This window comes from Homo sapiens, chromosome 11, assembly GCF_000001405.40.
Source record: "Homo sapiens chromosome 11, GRCh38.p14 Primary Assembly".
Classification (NCBI taxonomy): domain Eukaryota; kingdom Metazoa; phylum Chordata; class Mammalia; order Primates; family Hominidae; genus Homo; species Homo sapiens.
The window spans coordinates 113,727,708-113,748,001 of record NC_000011.10 but is presented as its reverse complement, the minus strand read 5'-3'; the positions used below and the strand labels follow the sequence as shown (position 1 = coordinate 113,748,001).

The 20,294-nt window shown below is 38.1% G+C and overlaps 1 protein-coding gene across 2 annotated transcripts in view; it reads left to right on the top strand.

Annotated features, from left to right (window-relative positions):
• The window catches only part of ZW10 (zw10 kinetochore protein), a 40,506-nt gene extending 25,691 nt beyond the window's left edge, over positions 1 to 14,815 (top strand). For both annotated transcript variants that reach the window (XM_017018558.3, NM_004724.4), the window contains 8 exons: positions 289 to 471; positions 3,962 to 4,200; positions 6,237 to 6,308; positions 8,620 to 8,789; positions 9,608 to 9,738; positions 10,299 to 10,430; positions 11,180 to 11,382; positions 14,188 to 14,815. In XM_017018558.3, coding sequence (XP_016874047.1) covers positions 289 to 471; positions 3,962 to 4,200; positions 6,237 to 6,308; positions 8,620 to 8,789; positions 9,608 to 9,738; positions 10,299 to 10,430; positions 11,180 to 11,382; positions 14,188 to 14,308 — 1,251 coding nt within the window. In that variant the 3' untranslated portion in view covers positions 14,309 to 14,815. The remainder of the gene's footprint in view (positions 1 to 288; positions 472 to 3,961; positions 4,201 to 6,236; positions 6,309 to 8,619; positions 8,790 to 9,607; positions 9,739 to 10,298; positions 10,431 to 11,179; positions 11,383 to 14,187) is intronic.
• The last annotated feature ends 5,479 nt before the right edge of the window (positions 14,816 to 20,294 follow it).

The following is a 20,294-nucleotide window of genomic DNA, read 5'->3' as shown; positions in this document are numbered from 1 at the left end:
ACATTTTACTTTTTGCTTCTTTTTAGTGTTTCCTTGAATGCTAAAATAAGTATATTTGTTTTAAAGATCTTTCTATTTTTACTAAGTAGAGTCAGACATTTCTACTGAAGATATTCTTTCTAATGAATTTAAGGCTGGAAATATGTATATTTTTATACCTAGTAATTGATGGTCCATTCTAAAATGACCAGCTTGGTCCTCATTTTTTTATACATTGGATTTGAAATTCTAATATTGTAATGGAATATATGTAAATGATTCTTTTCTTTTTTTTCTTTTGTATCTCAGATCATACAGTCCACTGAAGAATTTGAAAATGCCCTAAAGGAAATGAGATTTTTAAAAGGAGATACTACAGATTTGCTGAAATACGCTCGTAACATCAATTCTCATTTTGCAAACAAAAAGTGCCAGGATGTGATTGTGGCAGCCAGAAATCTAATGACCTCAGAAATTCATAACACTGTGAAGGTACCAGTGTTATATTGCATTGTATATGAAACATTGTATATGAGAAAGCAACTCATTTTGAGATGCATATAGTAAAGTGGAAGAGAGGATGACGGTTGTTGAGCTGAGTCAAGTTATCAATCTTTTTTACATTGGTTTTGTCTCCTTTAAAGTGGTCCTAATCTCCACCTCTTCCATTGGGTATTGTGAAGTGCAGATACGATAATGCACATGAAAGCCTTGTATAAATTGAAAAAGTCTACATACATGTAATGGATTATTATTGTTGAAGTGAGACAGTAGATTATTCTCATCTTTATTTCTGAAGGTTTTAGGACACAACTTTGTGACAGGTACACTTGGGCTACATTATGTCCAGAAATTATATCCTCTTATGAAAGTGTTGACTTCATCTAATAGAGAGACTAGTTTTAAAGTTAAAATAATAAAAAGGTAAATAAAAAGATAGGATATAAATAATTACCTGTAAAGGCAGTGGACCTTTGACCTTTTTTTTTTCATATCTTACATGTATGAAATAATGTATATACCTTGAATTGGGCTGTGGTTTCTTTTAACATAAATGTCAATTGATTATGTCACTCTTCTGCAGAAAGTCCAGTGTCTTCCCATCTTATTTAGAGAAGACCCAGTAGCCTTACAGTGGACTGCAAGGCCTTATCTGATCTGCCTCCTATTGCCTCTCTGACTCTATTATCTATTGCATTCATCCTTCACTATGCTGCAGGCATCCTGGACTTATTTCTGTTCCTTGAATGTGCTAGGCCTACTTTGTTTCAGAATCTCTGAACCACTTGTTACCTCTGCATGGAATATTCTTACCGCAGATCACATGATTTGCTTTTTAAAAAGTACTTTCTGATCACTTAAAAAAAATTATAACCTCCCCTATTTCCTGTACCCCTTCCTTGGTGTATTTTTCTTTTTATTATATCATCAACCAACATTTTATATGAATTGTTTGTTGTTTCTCCCTCTAGAAAGTAAGCTCCATGAGGGTAGAGTTTTGTTGTTGTTTTTTTTTTTTTTTTTTTTGACTGTTTTGTTTACTGTTATATCTCCAGCACTAAGAAAATACCTGGTACATACATACTACTACTATGTACTCAGTGCTCATGTGCTTACTGATTACCTTTGGTAAATGAATTCATATATATCTCACAACTCCTTGATGTAAACAGCATTACTGCTGAATTGCTCTGTGACTCTGGGCTTAATCTTCTCACCTTGTTGAACCTCATTTTCCTCTTCTGTACTGTGAGAGGATTGAACTAGATAATCTGAGTTTCCTACTTAAGTAATTTTGAGAGTTTGTAAAACTGCATTTTTTCTGAGTACTCAAATCCTAATGTAGCTTCCTCTAGGTCAGGACGTCTCAGCAGTGGCAGTGTTAACATTTGGGACCGGCTAATTCTTCGCTGTGGGGGACTGTCCTATGGGATATTTAGCAGCATCCCTGACCTCTGTTCCCTAGATTCTAGTAGCACCTCTTCCAGCTGTGACAAGCAAAAATATCTCCAGACATTGCCAAATGCCCCCTTTAAGACAGAGTTTTCCCTGATTGAGAACCACTGCTTTAGATTCCAGCTGGTTCTTTCTCTTGGCATTTAGGCCCTGGAATTAGATTTTCTAAACTTCCCAACTTTGAAAAAAGCTCCTCTTCCCTTTTCTAAAAAACGTTTTCAACTTAATTGCTTTTCATGGTCTGTTTCTCAATTCTCTTTATTCCCCTATGTGTACTCACTGTTTTCCCAAAAGATCTATAGTTGTGTTTTTTGTTGTTGTTTGGTTTTTACATTTTGTCTTAAGAGACATCTTACTAGGTCTAACATTCTTCCGTCTTAGTTTCCTTTGCCCCTCCTCATGAAGTCACCTTTTCGAATCTTATGTATCCAGGCCCACTATTTTTCAGACAAAGATTAGCATTTTAAATAAACTCTGTAAGTAAATTTTTTCATCATCATTCTAATCTTAGCCATAATTTTTGACTACCCAGTCCCTGATATTTGTGTTCTCATTTAAACTTCATAACAGCTCTCTAAAGTAGATATTATTATACCATTTTACAGATTAGACAGCCAAGTCCACTGACTTAAATAGTTTTATTAGACTTTGAACCTTTTCTGCCAGAAAATCTCTGTCGAAGTCCAGTATGTGCAAAGTTGTTATTCTTGCAGTGGGAGTAGGGAGCCTGCTGCCTCTACATGCTTTATCTTTTTTTTTTTTTTTAATCCCTGAAGCATCTTTGAGGAACAAGGTTCAAAAGCCATTATTAGTATATTATTTATTTTACAGTGAGAAAATTGAGATCCAGAGAGGTTAAATGACTTTGTTAAAAGTTAGGGTGAAAAATATTACTGTTTTCACATTCACAGCCTACTGTTCTTTCATTTAGTCCCAACAAAAGAAATTTTCTATTGAAGCTTTTTTTTTTTAATAAGGGGAGGATATGCTAGTTTGAATGAGAATGAGTTATTTCTTAGACTAAGCCAACACATGTGCCTGGTACAAAATAATTTGTTCAAGAATCTAGACAGTGGAACCCCAAATTATGCTGCTCTGTAATACTAATAGTCTAGTATGAGACAGATGATTTTTGAAGGTCTTTTTATTTAGCTGAAATCTTAGGCCAGTTGCACAGCTTTGCTATTTCAGCCAAGATTAAGAATGCTTGGGGCCGGGTGCGTTTGCTCATGCCTATAATCCATGCACTTTGGGAAGTCGAGGAGGGAGAATGACTTGAGCCCAGGTGTTCGAGACCCGCCTGGGCCATATAGCAAGACCTTTTCTCTACTAAAAATAAAAGTAAATTAGCTGGGTGTGGTGGGTGCCTGTAGTCCCAGCTACATGGGAGGTTGAGGCTACAGTGAGCTATGATTGTGCCACTGCACTCCAGCCTGGGTGACAGAGCAAGACCCTGTCTCAAAAAGAGTGCTTAGAAGAATGTCACAGTAAAGGGGATTAAGGGAATTGTTTATCACTTATGACATGCTTTCATCTAGGATTCAGCAGTCATTAAAATATTGTCATATTTATTGAAATCTTTTAATTACTCTGTAGAGCCGTAGCTGTATCATGAAAGCAAGCAGTATCTTATTCTTCACCGTGTGCTTATATTTGTTTTTTTTGAGACGGAGTCGTGCTCTGTCGCCCAGGCTGGAGTGCAGTGGCATGATCTCAGCTCACTACAAGCTCCGCTCACTGCAAGCTCCGCCTCCCGGGTTTGCGCCATTCTCCTGCCTCAGCCTCCCGAGTAGCTGGGACTACAGGCGCACGCTGCCACGCCCGGCCAATTTTTTGTATTTTTAGTAGAGACGGGGTTTCACCGTGTTAGCCAGGATGGTCTCGATCTCCTGACCTCGTGATCTGCCCGCCTCGGCCTCCCAAAGTGCTGGGATTACAGGCGTGAGCCGCCATGCCCGGCCGTGTGCTTATATTTGAATTATTCTGAAAACAATATATTTTCTGTATTTTTGTGTTTGAATCTTAGATTATTCCTGATTCTAAGATAAATGTGCCAGAGTTACCCACTCCTGATGAGGATAACAAACTGGAAGTACAGAAAGTATCCAATACTCAGTACCACGAAGTGATGAATTTAGAGCCTGAAAATACATTGGACCAACATTCCTTTTCCTTGCCCACATGCCGTATCAGTGAGTCTGTGAAGAAATTAATGGAACTCGCCTATCAGACTTTACTAGAGGCAACAACCAGTAGTGATCAATGGTACGAATTCTGGGTTGTGTGAAAATGGCAATGACTTGGTTAAATGCATATCTAACTAGATGTTTATCAGGAAAATTAGCTGGAATTCTTTGGGTTTTCATATCCTAGAAGTTAATGCTTTTTCTGGAAACAAAACAAAACAAAACAAAAACCCAGTGCATCACACAGATTTATGTCTATCTCTGACTTTTATTTGCAATAGCATAGATGTTTGAGCAAGGTGTAGGAAGTAGGTGCACTTGTATGGATGGACAAATGGATTTTTTTGACATTAAAAATTGTTAATCACTTTTTAACAAAAAGTTCTTCAATTGTTGTTGAATTTTTACTTTTTATTTGAATTGAATGATATTATATGAGAAAACACATGCAAAGAACTTAGAATCCTACCTGGAAAATGATTAATACTCAAATGTTTATTATTGTGTTGGCAGTGGGTAATAGTTATATCTTCTATTCCAGCTTGCTCAGGCTCTTTAGCTTAACATTCTTTTTACCTTTTGAAACCCAGTCCCTAATTCATTTATATTTTAAATGTTTATATTTGAAGCAATAACAATTTGTTAGGCAGCCAAAGGTAGAAGGAAAAGAATGGAACATGCCAAAGATCTGGCTTCACTCTTTCAAGATGACTTCTAATCTATATTGCATTCACGTTACCTTAAATTCTACTCCATTATCTTATATGGAATCTGTTTTTGTTCAATAAGCTTCTTCCCTACTCCTAGACTAAATTGAGAAGAAAATGGCAGAGCATGGACCAAGCTGATTGCAGAGCAGGTTTATAAAAGCTTCTTTAGTTTGAATCTGCATTTAGCAATTTCATTCTTCCTATCCTCATAGAGAAAACAGTTTCAGTTAGGGTTTGGCCCAATCAAATTGCATCTTTAGATGGACTTTCCAAGTTCAATTTTTATCGTGAGATAACCTCTTTATTTTATTCTGCTCTAGGAAGAACATGTCTCCCAAGATACTTTCCTAGCTTTAATGAATCATTACATTCACATGTCCATTCAGAGTTAATTGTAAGAAGGAAGAAATGAATATAGGAGTGACTGTTGGCAAAATGAATATAGGACTGTTTCTTCACATGGCACTCTCCTGAAATATATCAGACCAGAAGTTAGAGATGAGGGCAATATTTCTTAAATTTTTTGGGAACACAAAACACCAAACAGTATTTGTATACTGACTATCTATGGACATTCTTTCCACTAAAAGTAATAGTTTTTAACAGGACAAACAAAACCACAGCTACAATGCAACAACCCCCTTTTTCATTATCAAACTCAAACAGCAGCTCCTGCAGCGAAAATGAAATAATTTAATAAGGTATTATAATAATCAAATAGTAACAGGGTTTTTGGGTATGACTTATTTTCCTAAATATTTATGAAATCCCTGTAAGCTTTTAAGGTACGTAGCTTAAGATATTCTTATGTAGAGGTAAGTTACACAAACCTTATGTTTGCCTTTTAAAAGTGCATTTTAATAATAATCTGTAGGTGTTTTAAGGCTAGATTTAAAGGGCAAAAAATCTTGAGGGCTAGATTCTATCCTAGAAATGTTGATTCACCTCCTTGCATTGAGGTAAGAAGGAGAAAAGGTGAAAGCTGAAAGTCAGACTGATTCTAAAAGAACCAAGCGAGTGCTTTTATTGATACCTTGCCCTTTGCAGAGTGTGTCAGTGAGTAGGTGACATTTGCTTGAGGCTTAGCTCCATTTGTTACTGAAGGGATACTCTGGGTACTGGCAGAACAGAAATTGATAAATAGAAAAGAGGCTTTGGGTTGAATGCGGCTCTTCTTACAATCATTAATGCATCCAGGTGTTTGGAATTGTAGTCTGGTTAGTAAATACTGGTTGAGACTATATTTCCATCTAGATTAATGGTGTTTTCCAGCAACCAAGGCAGGTGTTCTGTGCAACTGTAGTTTTAGCTTATGACTCTCACTGAAGATGCACTTAGTTTAAATTTTTTTCTTGTTTTTAGTGTATTCTTAGGCATTTCTGTTAAGTCTATGTTTTCTTTTTAGTGCTGTTCAACTTTTCTACTCAGTGAGGAATATCTTCCATTTGTTCCATGATGTTGTACCAACATATCACAAGTAAGTACCACTGTATCTCATTTCTATATAATAATTGTATGTCTAAGATGTGGAAGTTAAGTTAAAACAAATAATTTTATATTCCCACTAAAGATATTTTGTTTACTAACATTCACACTAAAATGCAGTAAATCATTTTAAAACGCATATTTAAAGGATTTGGTCATTTATTACTAAATTAATTAGGGTATTATAATCTTGCAGTGTAGTTCATGATGCACATTTTAAAACTCAAAAGAACTACCTTGTTTTGCTGCTAAGCATTTTCAGAACTGCCTTTACTTAACTTTCAGCCTCTAGTTCAGTTTTCTTTATTTGAATTAAAATGTTTAGATGTTTTTCATAAATATCTTTGATAACATGTCAACAAAGCTATTCCTTAGCCAAGAACTCTGAATTTCAGAGACAAAAATCTGCCAGGCACAGTGGCTCACACTTGTAATCCCAGCACCTTGGAAGGCAGAGGTGGGAGGATTGTTTGAGGCCAGAAGTTTGAGATTAGTTTGAGCAACATAGTGAGACCCTCGCCTCTAATTAAAACAAAGAAACAAAAAACCAAAAAAAAAAACAAAAGCTGTTTACTATTTAAAGTATTTTTTAGTTCAGATTTTTGAATATTGGGATGTTTTTAACTAGGCTCACCTGTTGTTTTTATTATAAAAGCTTATTGTGAACCTTATTAGTTTTATTTGTATTCTCTTTACTGTGGTTTAACATTCTTATTTCATTTTTTACTTAGTCAAGCAAAAGAAAAGAGAAAACATATTTGCATTAGCTGACAGCCTTGTCCTTGGGGATTTAAAGACAGGAGTGGAGTTAGATTTGCCTGTCTTTCTCCTTCGTATAACCTCGGAACTTTAGTGTGCATCAGAATCACGTGGAAGTCTTGTTAAAACACAGATTGCTTGATCCATGCCCAAGGTTTCTGATTCAGTAGGTCTGGAATGGGGCTTGGATTTTTAGCAAATTTCCAGGTGATGCTGATGTTGCCTGTCATGGGACCACATTTTGAGAACCACTGTCCTTAGATAACGGTTCTCAGCTTTGGCAGTATTTTTATATCGTTTCATTTCATTTCAATTTCATTCCATTCATTTAATTTCATATTTTGAGACAGAGTCTAACTCTGTTGCCTAGGCTGGAGTGCAGTGGTGCAATCATGGCTCATTGCAGCCTCGACCTACTGGGCTCAGGTGATCTTCCCATCTTAGCCTCCCAAGTAGCTGGGACCACAGGCACACACCACCACACCTGTCTAACATATTTTTGTAATGATAGGGTCTGTATATGTTGCCCAGGCTGGTCTTGAACTCCTTGGCTCAAGTGATCCTCCTGCCTTGGTCTCTCAAAATGATGGTATTACAGTTGTGAGCCACTGCACCGGCCAGACTTTGGGCAGTATTTTAGAATAACTTATGGAGCTTTAAAAATATACATATTTACTCTCTTCCTAGGGCATTTGATTTATGTCTGATGTAAGGCCCAGGTGTGTTTTTTTCTTTTTTTTTAAGCCCCACAGGTGATTCTGATGTGTAGCTGGAAAAGAGGACTATCTTAGTTATCTTAGTTTGTTGGCTTCTGACTTGTATATCCTAGTTTTATATTGAGTTAGCAAACTAGAAACTGTTAATTGAATGACTGTTAGTGGGTAGATAGCAGAAATATAAGACAAAATTTCTTCCCAAGCTGGGTAGATAAGACTAATACGTGTAGAAGAATTAAAGTAGTGATTTTCAATCCTGGATGAAAATTAAAATCACCTGGGAAGATTTTAAAACATATAAATGCTGTGATTTCACTCTTAGAGCTTGTGATTTAATTTGTTTGGGGTAAAGTCTAAACATCTGTGGTTTTTTAAAATTCCCAGGTGACTCTAATCTAGTCAGTTTTTGAAAACTAGTGAATTAGAAAATAATTGAACACTTCATTATATGACTGAAGTAGGAATTTGGAGAAAGGTGAAGTAAACCTGTATTTCCATAGATGTATCCGTGTAAAATTTCAAGGACATTATTATGCATAGCTCTGCTAGGTTTTCAGTGCAAAAAGTTGACTCAGGCAAACATCTTGATTCCCTTAATCTTTCTTTATTGTTAATCACCAGGATAGTTTTATAGGATAAAATCCCATTCAGGCAGAACAGCCTCCCTCTGGGAGTGGGAGTGATGAGATTGTATCTTGTTATGTATAGCATTTAGAAACTAGACAGTTATTAAAGCCTAGAAATACATTAGAGAAGTTGTGACTTTCATCAACCCCAGCTTCAGTAACAGGTGGTTGCTTTGTTTTTCTACCCCTCCTTCTGGCCTAGGGAGAACCTTCAAAAACTTCCCCAGTTGGCTGCTATTCATCACAACAACTGTATGTACATTGCTCACCACTTGCTGACCCTCGGGCATCAGTTCAGATTGCGTCTTGCCCCCATTCTTTGTGATGGCACTGCTACTTTTGTGGATCTTGTACCTGGCTTCAGGAGACTTGGTAACTGATACTTTCAATGTAGGAAAGCATATGGATTATGCAGCTTGTCAACATAGTATCTTTATAGTTTTTGAATGAGAAAATTAGAAATTAGGTGGTGGTCCTGAGCTGTATCAGAAAGTGGGAGGGCATTTAATTTGCAAGTGTTTCCAGTTATATAATTTTATAAGGTGAGTGTAGTCTTTGTGGGAGACTTTTTTACTTTTTTGTAACATGATTTCATGGTACGTTAGAGTTCCAAACTGCAGTCCTAGTGTGCATTGAATTTGCCAGGTCAGGATTCACATAATAGGATTTATAATGTGACAATTTTGTTTGTATTGTTGGTAAGAGCTCACTAATGTCAGTGCTAGTTCTTTTGCAAAACCCCAAGACAGCTCCCCCATCTTACATCTCCCTTAGTTTTACTTGGGATTACTAAAAGTCAAAAGAAATGAAATGTGGAGTAAATCAATATGTTGATCATAGCAGAGAATCTATGTGTTTCACTTAGCTTTTCAATTCTTGATTTTTCCCTAGTTGGTATAGATACATCAGAATAATAAGTAGTTCCTTTTTCTATAGTAATTTTTCTTAGCTGACTCGGGCTCTAAGCAAACTACTGGAAAATATTATCTGGAGGGTGGGGTTTGAGGAACGGGCTAATGTATTCAAAGTGATTGTTTCTAGTAGCTTTAGGGCAGCTTTATGATATTATCTAGCAATTATTTTTATATAGGCAGAACAGATACATGGTTTATGCATCTCTTGTCTATCCTGGTTTTGCAGTGTGTAATTGAGCAGCTTTTAAAATTTTTTATTCTGTTTTTCCATCATAGGGACAGAATGCTTTTTGGCCCAAATGCGGGCACAGAAAGGTGAACTTCTGGAAAGATTATCAAGTGCTAGGAACTTTTCAAATATGGACGATGAAGAGAATTATTCTGCAGCAAGTAAAGCAGTCCGGCAGGTAGGAGGCTCTTGCTAGCACTGAAATTTGTATTCTATCCTTAGATGCCTTTTTTTTTGTTTGCTTTTTTAAAGCAGAAAACAATATGTAACAAGTATTCAGTTGATTCCCTGCACCCCCACCTTTGGAAAATCTAGATACCTTTTACAATCATGTTTAAGAACTTTTTCTTCCCCTCTCCCACCAAGACAACACGAAACTATCTTTTCATTGACTCAATAATTGCAACTTGTTACCTAGAAAGTCTGTTGTGGCAAGTAGTTGATTCCTGAACTTAGATTTGGGAATTTGAAATATTGGCTTTTATCTTAATGCTCCCCTTTCTTAAGTGATTTATCTTTTTTGCTGCAGTTTTCCTATCCTCAGGTTGATGAGTCTGCTTTTCATCTACCAGGGATATCACTATGGTTAAATGTTCAAGAAGCATATGTCCTTAGTTACTTTACCTCATTTTGGCATAATGCCACTTTCCCAATGAACTCACAAATGATAAATGTAAATCTGGAAAATACGAGTCACAGTAATCTTTCTTCCACGTAAATAGCTGTATTCTTCTACAGGTACTGCACCAACTAAAGAGACTTGGAATTGTGTGGCAGGATGTCCTGCCAGTGAATATATATTGCAAGGCTATGGGGACTTTACTCAATACAGCAATTTCTGAGGTCATTGGCAAAATTACTGCCCTAGAGGTAAGGGCCATTAGATGCTACACTAGCCTTGAGATGCAATTCATGTCCCAGATTGTGACTTTGCTAAGAAAGTGATGTTGAAGAAATTGTTCATGTTTCATGTCTAACTCATGCTGTTTTTTTTTTTTTCAGTTTTGTTTTATATCTGTTTTGCTAGAAACTGTTTAATCTCTTTTATATGAAAGTAGGATTGAACTATTTCTCAGCCTACCATCTAGATTATAAATGAGGAAGTTAGAAACTGGGTAGTGGTCCTGAGATGCGTTGTATAGTGTAAAGTCATTTAATTTGCAAGTAAACTCAATAATTTGATTTAGTAAAGTGAATGCAGTCTTGTGCAGGTTCCATTTTTCCAACACACTGTTGCAGTTTAAATTTTACATGTGATTCTTCAGGAAAATTGTCTGGACTTGGCCAGCTGATGCCTCTAAATCATAGATTGACTAAATCCCTATTTGTAATCACATCCCCTGCTTTGCAACAAGCTGTGCGACATTCTATTGGAGAAACAGGCTCTTTCATGCAGGCAAACTAAATTACTGACAATCTGTTGAAACATATTTTGTGTCATTCTTATATAGAAGTATTGTCAGAGAACTGATGTAGTGTCTAGTAAGTTGTTCCAAATTGGTTGGAAAACATGTTGTAGCTGACCCACCTGGACAGCATGCATCAAAGATCTGCTGCCCTTTCCCCACTTCTGAGCTGGCCCAATTCTATTCTATTGTGTTTCCTCTGTGCAAAACCAGGACATATCTACTGAAGATGGTGATAGGTTATATTCCTTATGCAAAACAGTGATGGATGAAGGACCCCAAGTATTTGCACCTTTATCTGAAGAAAGCAAGAACAAGAAATATCAAGAAGAGGTTCCAGTCTATGTGCCAAAATGGATGCCATTCAAGGAATTGATGATGATGCTACAAGCCAGCTTGCAAGAAATTGGGGATCGGTATGTATAACCCTTCTATAGAGGCATATAACTCTCCATAGCTACAAGAGAGTAATAGTGCCCTTGATAGCAGGGCTTTTCCCTGTTTCCTGATGTTAGTCATGCAAGACTTTCATATTGAGTAGCAGTAGCTGGGGCCTTTTCATGATCTATCATAATGCAGATCTCATTACCACTTTCCCATATTTGATAGCATAAAGACTTCTCATCCATATTATTTTGGTCTTGAGTATGTGGTTTGGCATGCTGTACAAGTGATCTGGCAACTGTAAGAATTATAGCCTTCTGACATCTGGATGGAAATTGTTGCTCACTTTAAGGAGCAGTGGATGCTTTTTTTTTTTTGAGACATGGTCTTACTCTGTCACCCAGGTTGGAGTGCAGTGGCTCAATCATTCCTCACTGCAGCCTCAAACTCGTGGGCTCAAGGGATCCTCCCACCTCAGCCTCCTGAGTAGCTGGGATTACAGGTGCCTACCACCACACCTGGCTAATTTATTTTATTTTATTATTTTATTTATTATTTATTTGTTTTGTTTTGTTTTAGAGACGAGGTTTCTCTGTGTTGTCCAGGCTGGTCTCAAACTCCTGGCCTCCCAAAGTGCTAGGATTACAGGCATGAGCCACTGCAGCCAGCCTGGATGCATTTTCAGAATTACTTTGATATATTAACAGAGAAGTGACTTTTACCTGTCTGAAATATTGAGCATCAGACTACTGTTTGATTGACCTGCAGTCTTTCTGCAGGGAGTGCAGTAGTTTTAGAGGTTAAGCACCATATACCTAGAAGGGATTCATCTTTTCTCAAACGTAGTGGATGATGTTTTCTCTCAACACCATCAGTTAATGTTGCTGTGCCCAGTGAGTGTATGCTATATCATATCATAGTGTGCAGAGGCCGTTGCACAAAGCAGAATAGATGTGGGTCAGTTACACATTCATGGATGATTTTATATTGTCTTGGTAGATTATTGGTCAGTATGTATACCTTGCATAAAGGACTCTCTGTAGAGGCCTTAAGGTCATCTCCATCCCTATAGGTACTTGTCTATCTGCTTTAGCTTGGTTTACTACAGATGTCTGGTTATATTAGACCAGTCATCCTAGATGTGTCTGAGTTGTTTGCTGCAAATATTAGTCATTTGTACAATGTCAATGAGATCTCTGCTTGAAAAAAAATCACATCAGAATACCTCCAATCACATTTACTACAAAGTTTAGATTTATTCATTTATTATTTACAAGTCCTTAGCAGGTAACAAAGACACCTTTAAGTAATAGGCTCCAGAGGGCAGCAGATAAGAATTTTTCTTTCTGTTGTTAAAGGGCTTTCTTGCAGTCTAAGAATGATCATTAATTCCTTGTTATAAGAAAAATTATAACACTAGTACAACTCAACTTCTTTTTACTGCCTAGGAAATTTTTTTCCCCCAGAGATTTGTGTAAATATAAGGCTAAAGTTGTAAAATATACATATGAAGGAATACAGTAGATATACTCTGTATTTATAATGTAAAGAAAAAGAATAAATTTCATGTACCTATTACCCAACTTAAGAAAAATAATACCAGTATTTTGAAGACCCATGAATCCCCTTCTCCAAATGCTCTCCATGAGGGGTAACCATTATCTTGACTTTTATGTTATTTATTTCCTTACCTTTCTTTATAGTTCTACCCCATTTACATGTATCCTAAATAACATAAAGTTTAGACTTGCCTTTTTTTGAACTTGGTATAAGTAGAATCATCTGTAACTTGCTTCTTTTGTTCAATATTATTATTATGTTTTTGAAATCTATTCCTTTTTTTTTTTGAGACAGAGTCTCACTCTGTCGCCCAGGCTGGAGTGCAGTGGTGTGATATTGGCTCACTGCAACCTCTGCCTCCCACGCTCCAGCAAGTCTTCTGCCTCAGCCTCCCGAGTAGCTGGGATTAAAGGTGCCCATCACCACATCCGCCTAATTTTTGTATTTTCAGTAGAGATGGGGTTTTGCCATGTTGGCTAGGCTGGTCTTGAACTCCTGACCTCATGTGATCTGCCTTCCTCGGCCTCCCAAAGTGTTGGGATTACAGGTGTGAGCCACCACTCCTGGCCTGAAATCCATTCTTGATGGTATGTGTAGCTGCAGTTCATTTTCACCATCGCATCATTCCATTGTACAAATATTTCATAGTTTATTTGTCCTGTTTAGTCTCATTTTCACCAGTATTTGGAATTATCAGACTGGAAAGTTTCAGCTGATCTAATTGGCATGCAATGATAGGTTATTGTCATTTTAATTTGCATTTCCCTAAATTCTAATGATGTTGAGCATCTTTTCATTGGTCATTCATGTTTCTTCTATTATGTAATGCCTGTTCATATTTTTTTGCCCGTTATTCTAATAGGTTGTTTGTGGTTTCACTATTGATTCATGGGACTTCTTTATATATTTTTGTACTAGTCCTTCATCAGTTAAAATTGGTTGCCTGTGGTTACTTTGTAATACAGTTATAAAGCCTAAGGCATGAGAGTATGGTCATCATTATTAGTTCAAAGAGGCCTTGGTATAGAATAAGGGAGAATAGTCTCATATTCCTCACTTGGTCTCTTCATCTGGCTGTGCTGATAACCAGTTGTAGTGGGTGAGCAAAGAGGTCAGACACATTGAGGGGCAGTTCTATAAAGAAGAGGAAAGATGCCCAGGATTTGTTTTATTTCCATTTCAAGCAAATAAGCATTTGGATCAAACAGGCAATTTTTAAGTCTTGCTTATACTTCAGAGACCTAATAGGAAATGGAACTCTATCTTTCGTTTTGCAGGTGGGCAGATGGAAAAGGACCCCTGGCAGCTGCGTTCTCTTCCAGTGAAGTAAAAGCTTTAATTCGTGCCTTGTTTCAGAACACAGAAAGAAGAGCAGCTGCCCTTGCTAAAATTAAATAGCTCCATCTTCTTAAGAAAGCTATGTCTTGAATATGTGGATTCTTCCCTTGGCATAATTACTCCCTTAAAGACTTCTTTGAATCGCCCATTGGTTTTGGTGAACCAGTACATCTTGGAAGTTTGACTTTACAGAAGAACGTCTTACCTCCTGGCCTGTACGAGGCTTTGTTTAAGAACTGTTTATTAAGATAAATTGTCAAGTAAAGCACCTCAATTCATTGACTTTCTAGCCATCTTCCTTTGATTAGCTAACAAACTGTCAGGCAGCATTATTTCATGCTGCTTCCAGAGCCCTCTGGGAGCTATATACATTGTAAATGCAGGCCCTAGCTTTGGAACGAGGAATTGGGAGATTCCAGGAGTCAGGGTAGAGAATTTCTGAGCAAATCGGAGATATTTTAGGGGTGTGGAGGAGGGGAAGGGAGGAATGGGCCACCATATTTGGCCTTACAGGAATTAAGGAGACTTCCTGTAATATTTCTTTCCAATAAATATTGCTTTTTACAATTAAGGGTGAGTGTCTTTAATAACATGGGAGCTTTGACAAAAGAGAACAACGAGATTTCTTACATTCTATGCCATCCTTTTTATTGAGGTATATGACCGTCACACAGGACTCACTGACTGGTCATCTTCATTCATCATAATACTACCTGATAATTTCTCAGAATTCTTGGGACTCCTAGGACTTTGTTTAAGCACACATTTTTGGCACTTTTTGCTATTTCAATTAAATTTTATTTTCTTGGTTGGACTTTTCCTCCTTCTCAACACTGTTTCTTTATCTTGTCAAATGGCAAAGGTCTTAAATTGCCAATGTTCCTTTGGAATGTATGTGCCATGACATGCTGACTCTGGTCTTTATAGCCTAATCCTTTATTTGGTGGACATAGGTAATCCTTCAACTCAGCTTTTTGTGTTTTTAACTCCTTGCAGCCATTGGAGGAATATATTATGTTAAGGTTATTCTGAACCTGTCTAGGACTCTGGATTGTATCTCTTCATACTGAAATACAATTTCTTATTCTGAAAAGAGGATAAGGGGTATGACCTTTAGGTCCTTTTGAGGTAGGTGCTGTCTGAAGAAAGTTGCTAATACAAACCTGGCCAACATAGTGAAACCCCATCTCTAGTGAAAATACAAAAATTAGCTGGGCATGGTGGTGGGCACCTGTAGTCCCAGCTACTCGGGAGGCTCAGGCAGAGGAATTGCTTGAACCCGGGAGGTGGAGGTTGCAGTGAGCGGAGATTGCACCACTGCACTCCAGCCTGGGCAACGGAATAAGACCCTGTCTCCAAAAAAAAAAAAAAAAATTGCTAATCCAGTGGGTGTGCTTCCTTAGTCCTCAGCCTTGCAGGCAGACGGTCCTCCAGTTCCTTGCAGACATGGAACAAACTGTTCTTCCTCCTGCCCTTAACCTTTTTCTTAGTTCTGGCTCGGCCCCTTTAATCATGTCATTCTGGTTGCCTAGTCTTTCTTTTTCCTGTTTAAGGGTCATACAAGAACTATTAAGAAAGAAGACTGGTTTTCTTTTTGTGAAAGAATTCAGCTGTGGTTAACAAGAAGCTATTTATCTATATTCTGCATGTCCTATTATGAGAACGCAGAAAAGAATTGTCTGAATCAGCTTTGTTTTTTTGAGGAACAAAGAAGTTGGCTTTCTAAGAGAGGAGGAAGGGCCCATTTTCGCAGGTGAAGAAAATACCCATTTTTGAAAATTCATGTAATTTCAGGTAGCATTACTTTTCTCAGCAATTGAGAGAATGGGGAACTAAGGGTAGAACTGAAATAAATGCATCACAGGGCTATTACACAGAACAGCAGATTTCTTCATAGAAGCTATTCCTGACAGGTACAGCAATTTGGAGGTAGGATCTCTTGTAACTGAAAAGCATGCTTTTCACTCCTTCCTCACAGTAACACAGAAAACTGCATTGCAGCTCTTCTTAGCCTATGCAGATGCAGTCCCTCGGGACTGTTTCACCTAATGAATAGTTTATACTAGGTTGGTGCAAAAGTAATTGCAATTTTTGCCATTAAAAGTAATGTATTATGGCACATGGAGTAGGCAGACCCTATCCTCTTCCCTGGTCAAGGCAATTGATAGCTGATGGTTAAGTGCATGTTCATTCTGGTTAGAGATGAATCATCTAATTGAGCATGTGGAAGTTGGCATGGCAACTGTTACATGACCCTTGAGGGTACCTGTTCTGATGGGGAACCTGAGAATTCCCTGGGATCTTGAGGGTACCTGTCCCACCTGGGAATCAAACTTTCTTTTTTTAGGAAAAGAGTGTAGATTATGGGAGAAGGGGAACTGTAAGGGGCTTGACTCAGTGGATCTATGGGCCAAGTAGAAGAAACCTCCTTCCTAAAGAGCAACAAGAACTATATAAATGACTTTGAGAGATGAAATTCAAGAAAGGTTTCCCAAAGGAAAGTTTTTATTAAAAAGGCAAGTGTGCAAACAGTGTAAATCCATGCAATTATTTGATAATGGTTCCTGTTTCTGTGTGGATCCCGACTTGGTGACCTGTTTTATGGTCAGTTTTGCAAATGCATTTCTCTCTGAAATGGAGATCCTCCAGATGGCACTCTTACCTCAGCCTGGGAGCCTCACAAGGCATCTAGACCTGATCTGTGGAAATGCAAGCCAGAGAAACCTGACCGTTTTACCCTGAGCTTATATTCTGACCTTGGTCAGCTCCGGAAAGGTCATCCATACTCTGAACAACATCTGTACTATATGCTGCAGCACATTGCTCAGCAATCACTTGTGAATAGATCAAACAGTATTTTCTTTCATTAATAACACTGTTAAAGGAGTTTTGGATAATCCCTTTCTCATGCTTGCAAATACTTACGCTATCACTTAAGGCAATGATTCCCAGCTTTTTGGGGGTGGGTTTTATTTTATTGTTTATCTGATTTCCCAAGATTTTGTCCGTCTTCTGAAAGTAGAATGGTACACACAAATATGTGAGGATGTGTGCGTACACACATACACACACACACACACACACACACGATATTTTTGTGATCATGAAACCAGCTCAAGGAAGTAATTTGTTCAACTCCATAGCTGGTTTGTGGAGATGTGTAGGAGTAACTTCTTAGCCATGGGACATAGCTGTCAATGCAGGGAGGGATAAGCCTATTGGAAATTGTCTCATGTACAAAAAGTCTTGGCACCAGGTAGTTCTAAATTGGGTTTTGATGCCCACATTCTCCCTAATCACAAAACCAATTTTAAACATTTGTTATGTGATAAGTTTCTCTTAAAAATAGGCATTTTGCCAAAGCCTAAAATTTCCAAAATACTACAAAGTTCTGGTTTTGAGAAATTTTCCAATTGTTTAATAGTTGAGACAGAAATTCCTCACTTTATCATGAAGAGCTTGGTTAAGAATTTTGTGATAATCACAAGCTATAGCTGGAAATAGCCTTAGATGTCTCAAAATCAAGTTATGAAATCTCTGCCTAGAAGCTGGGGAGGAGGGCAATAATTCTGATGAGCTATGTATAAGTTTTTCACTCCTCTTCAGAAATTGGGTGCCCTAGTTTTTTTGTTTAGCTCATGAGAGTAGGGTGGGAGCAGTTGGGTCTTAGCTACTCTAGCTATTGAAGAAGACAAGGCCAAAGACACCTACACCCTCCCTTGCCACAGGCTTCTAAGTTGTTCTTAAACTTTCTGCATTCATTCTACTTACATTTATTGAGTGCCAGGCATTCTAGTCACTGAACTACAACCAAAAAAAACAAAACAAAACCTCAAAACAAAAATTTCCTGTCCCTCTGGTAATTTAAATTCCAGTGATGAAAGATAAACATGAAATATATATATGTGTATATATATGTGTGTGTATATATATATGTGTGTGTATATATATATATATATATACGTTTGAAGATGATAAGTGCTAGGAAAAAGTAAGCATACGGTGATGAGGATTAGGAGTTCCAGAGAAGGTGGAGCAAAGGGGCGAGCTGCAGTTCTCCGTAGGCGGGGCAGAGTGCATCTCCTTAAGAAGGTGAGTAAGCTGTGTGGATGTCTGGGTGGAGACAATGCTAGGGAGAGAGACCAATTCTTGCAAAGCCTGGGGTGAGAGGAGCATGTCTGATGAGCTCAGGGAATAGCAGAGAGTGAGGGAGCAGGTAGGCAGCAAGGATGCTAGAGCAGTAACAGGAAGAGAGGAGCAAGATTGTGTCAGGCCTTACAGACCAGTGTAAGAATTTATGTTTTGTTTTGTTTTGTTTTTAAACTCCGAGTTAAATGGTAAACGCTTAGTAGCTTAGGAAAAAAAAAACACACTAAAAAATGGAAACATAAAAGTAGAATAGTATGGTGAACCCGTGTACCCATTACTCAGCTTCAACAATTATTATCACGTGGCCAGTCATGCTTCATTGTGCTTATCCTACCTCCCTTCCCCTGAACCCACAAACACAGCAGATTGTTGAAGCAAAGGCCAGGCAGTGTATTTGAAACTCAGGACTCATTCCATAGTCTGAATGTTGTTTCCTGTGCAGTTTTCTCTTGTGGCATCCTTCTTTCAGCTTTCGCTCTTGTCATTCCCGCTTGCCTCTGCTCCCAGGAGCTGTCTTCCTTCCTCCTCTTGCCCCCAACCGCACTTCTCCACTCAGGCTCATCCTAGTATCTCCACTCCACTCCCATTCCCTGAACATTCAGTATTAAATAACAGACACCCCCAAAGCAGCTGACAGCTGACTCATGCCTCCACTTCCCCTTTGTCTGCTCCTTTCCTCTGCCTCAGCCACTTGCTCTACCTAACCCAATCCCATAGCTTCTGGGTGTTCAAAATCTGCATGGGAGGCTTTCCTCTTACTGATTGTTTGATCAGAGAGTATATCCCTTGTACTCTTAGAACCACTTTATCTGGGGTTACTTTCACAGAGAATCCCAGAAGGCATGGTTACCCAGCTTCACCTACTGAGTCCTAGGACTTGATGGCTGCTGGAGTCTGGGACTGGCTTGGTTTAAGGCAGAGCTACCCCTTCCCTAAGATCTGTCTGAGTGGAATGGTCGGTAGTGGAGCAGCCACTGGCTGGCTTCTGTTTCCCATTCCCCATTCCCTGCTTTAGAAATGATGCTTTAAAAGAATATGAATCGTTTCTATTTGCATGAAGGGTTCCATTTATGCTTGATTACCGTGCAGGATGATAAAAATTATGTATAACATTAAGTGTGTCATTCACTATTATAAATTTCATTTAATTTCAATACTAAGCTCTGTTCCTAAACACAGTCTAGTTTGCCATATCTATATCTACATTATTGCTTAAAACTAAAAAAATTAGAACTTTTGCTTACCAACTATTTATATAGTAATCTGTTCTAAGATCGTTTGTAAAATTGGCTTCAGTTGCATTAGTCTGAAGTCACAGTAGATCTTTTGCCCCCTTTTTGAAAATTAGAGTATTTGCTCATCTCAAGGACTATGTAACATGGTTTTGTTATTGCATTTGCAGTTTCTTTTATTTGTAAGTCCCATAGGATATAATTTCTCTGGGTCTGGTATTGTGAACTCACTGAAAACCTAGGTTCTCTTTTCCTATTTTATTTATTTATTTATTTTGAGACGGAGTCTCGCTCTGTCCCCCAGGATAGAGTGCAGTGGCGTGATCTCAGGTCACTGCAACCTCTGCCTGCCGGGTTCAAGCAATTCTCCTCCTTCAGCCTCCTGAGTAGCTGGGATTACAGGCATGCACCACCATGCCCAGCTCAGTTTTGTATTTTTAGTAGCGATAGAGTTTCACCATGTTGGTCAGGCTGGTCTCTAACTCCTGACCTCGTGATCTGCTCGTCTCGGCCTCCCAAAGTGCTGGGATTACAGGCGTGAGCCACCGTGCCCAGCTTCTTTTCCTATCTTTTCATTTATGTTAGGCTTCATTTTCCTCTCAACTACATTCGTTCTAGCCTTTTCAAGTTGAAGGTCATTCTCGATAGAGAATATAAAAGGAAAA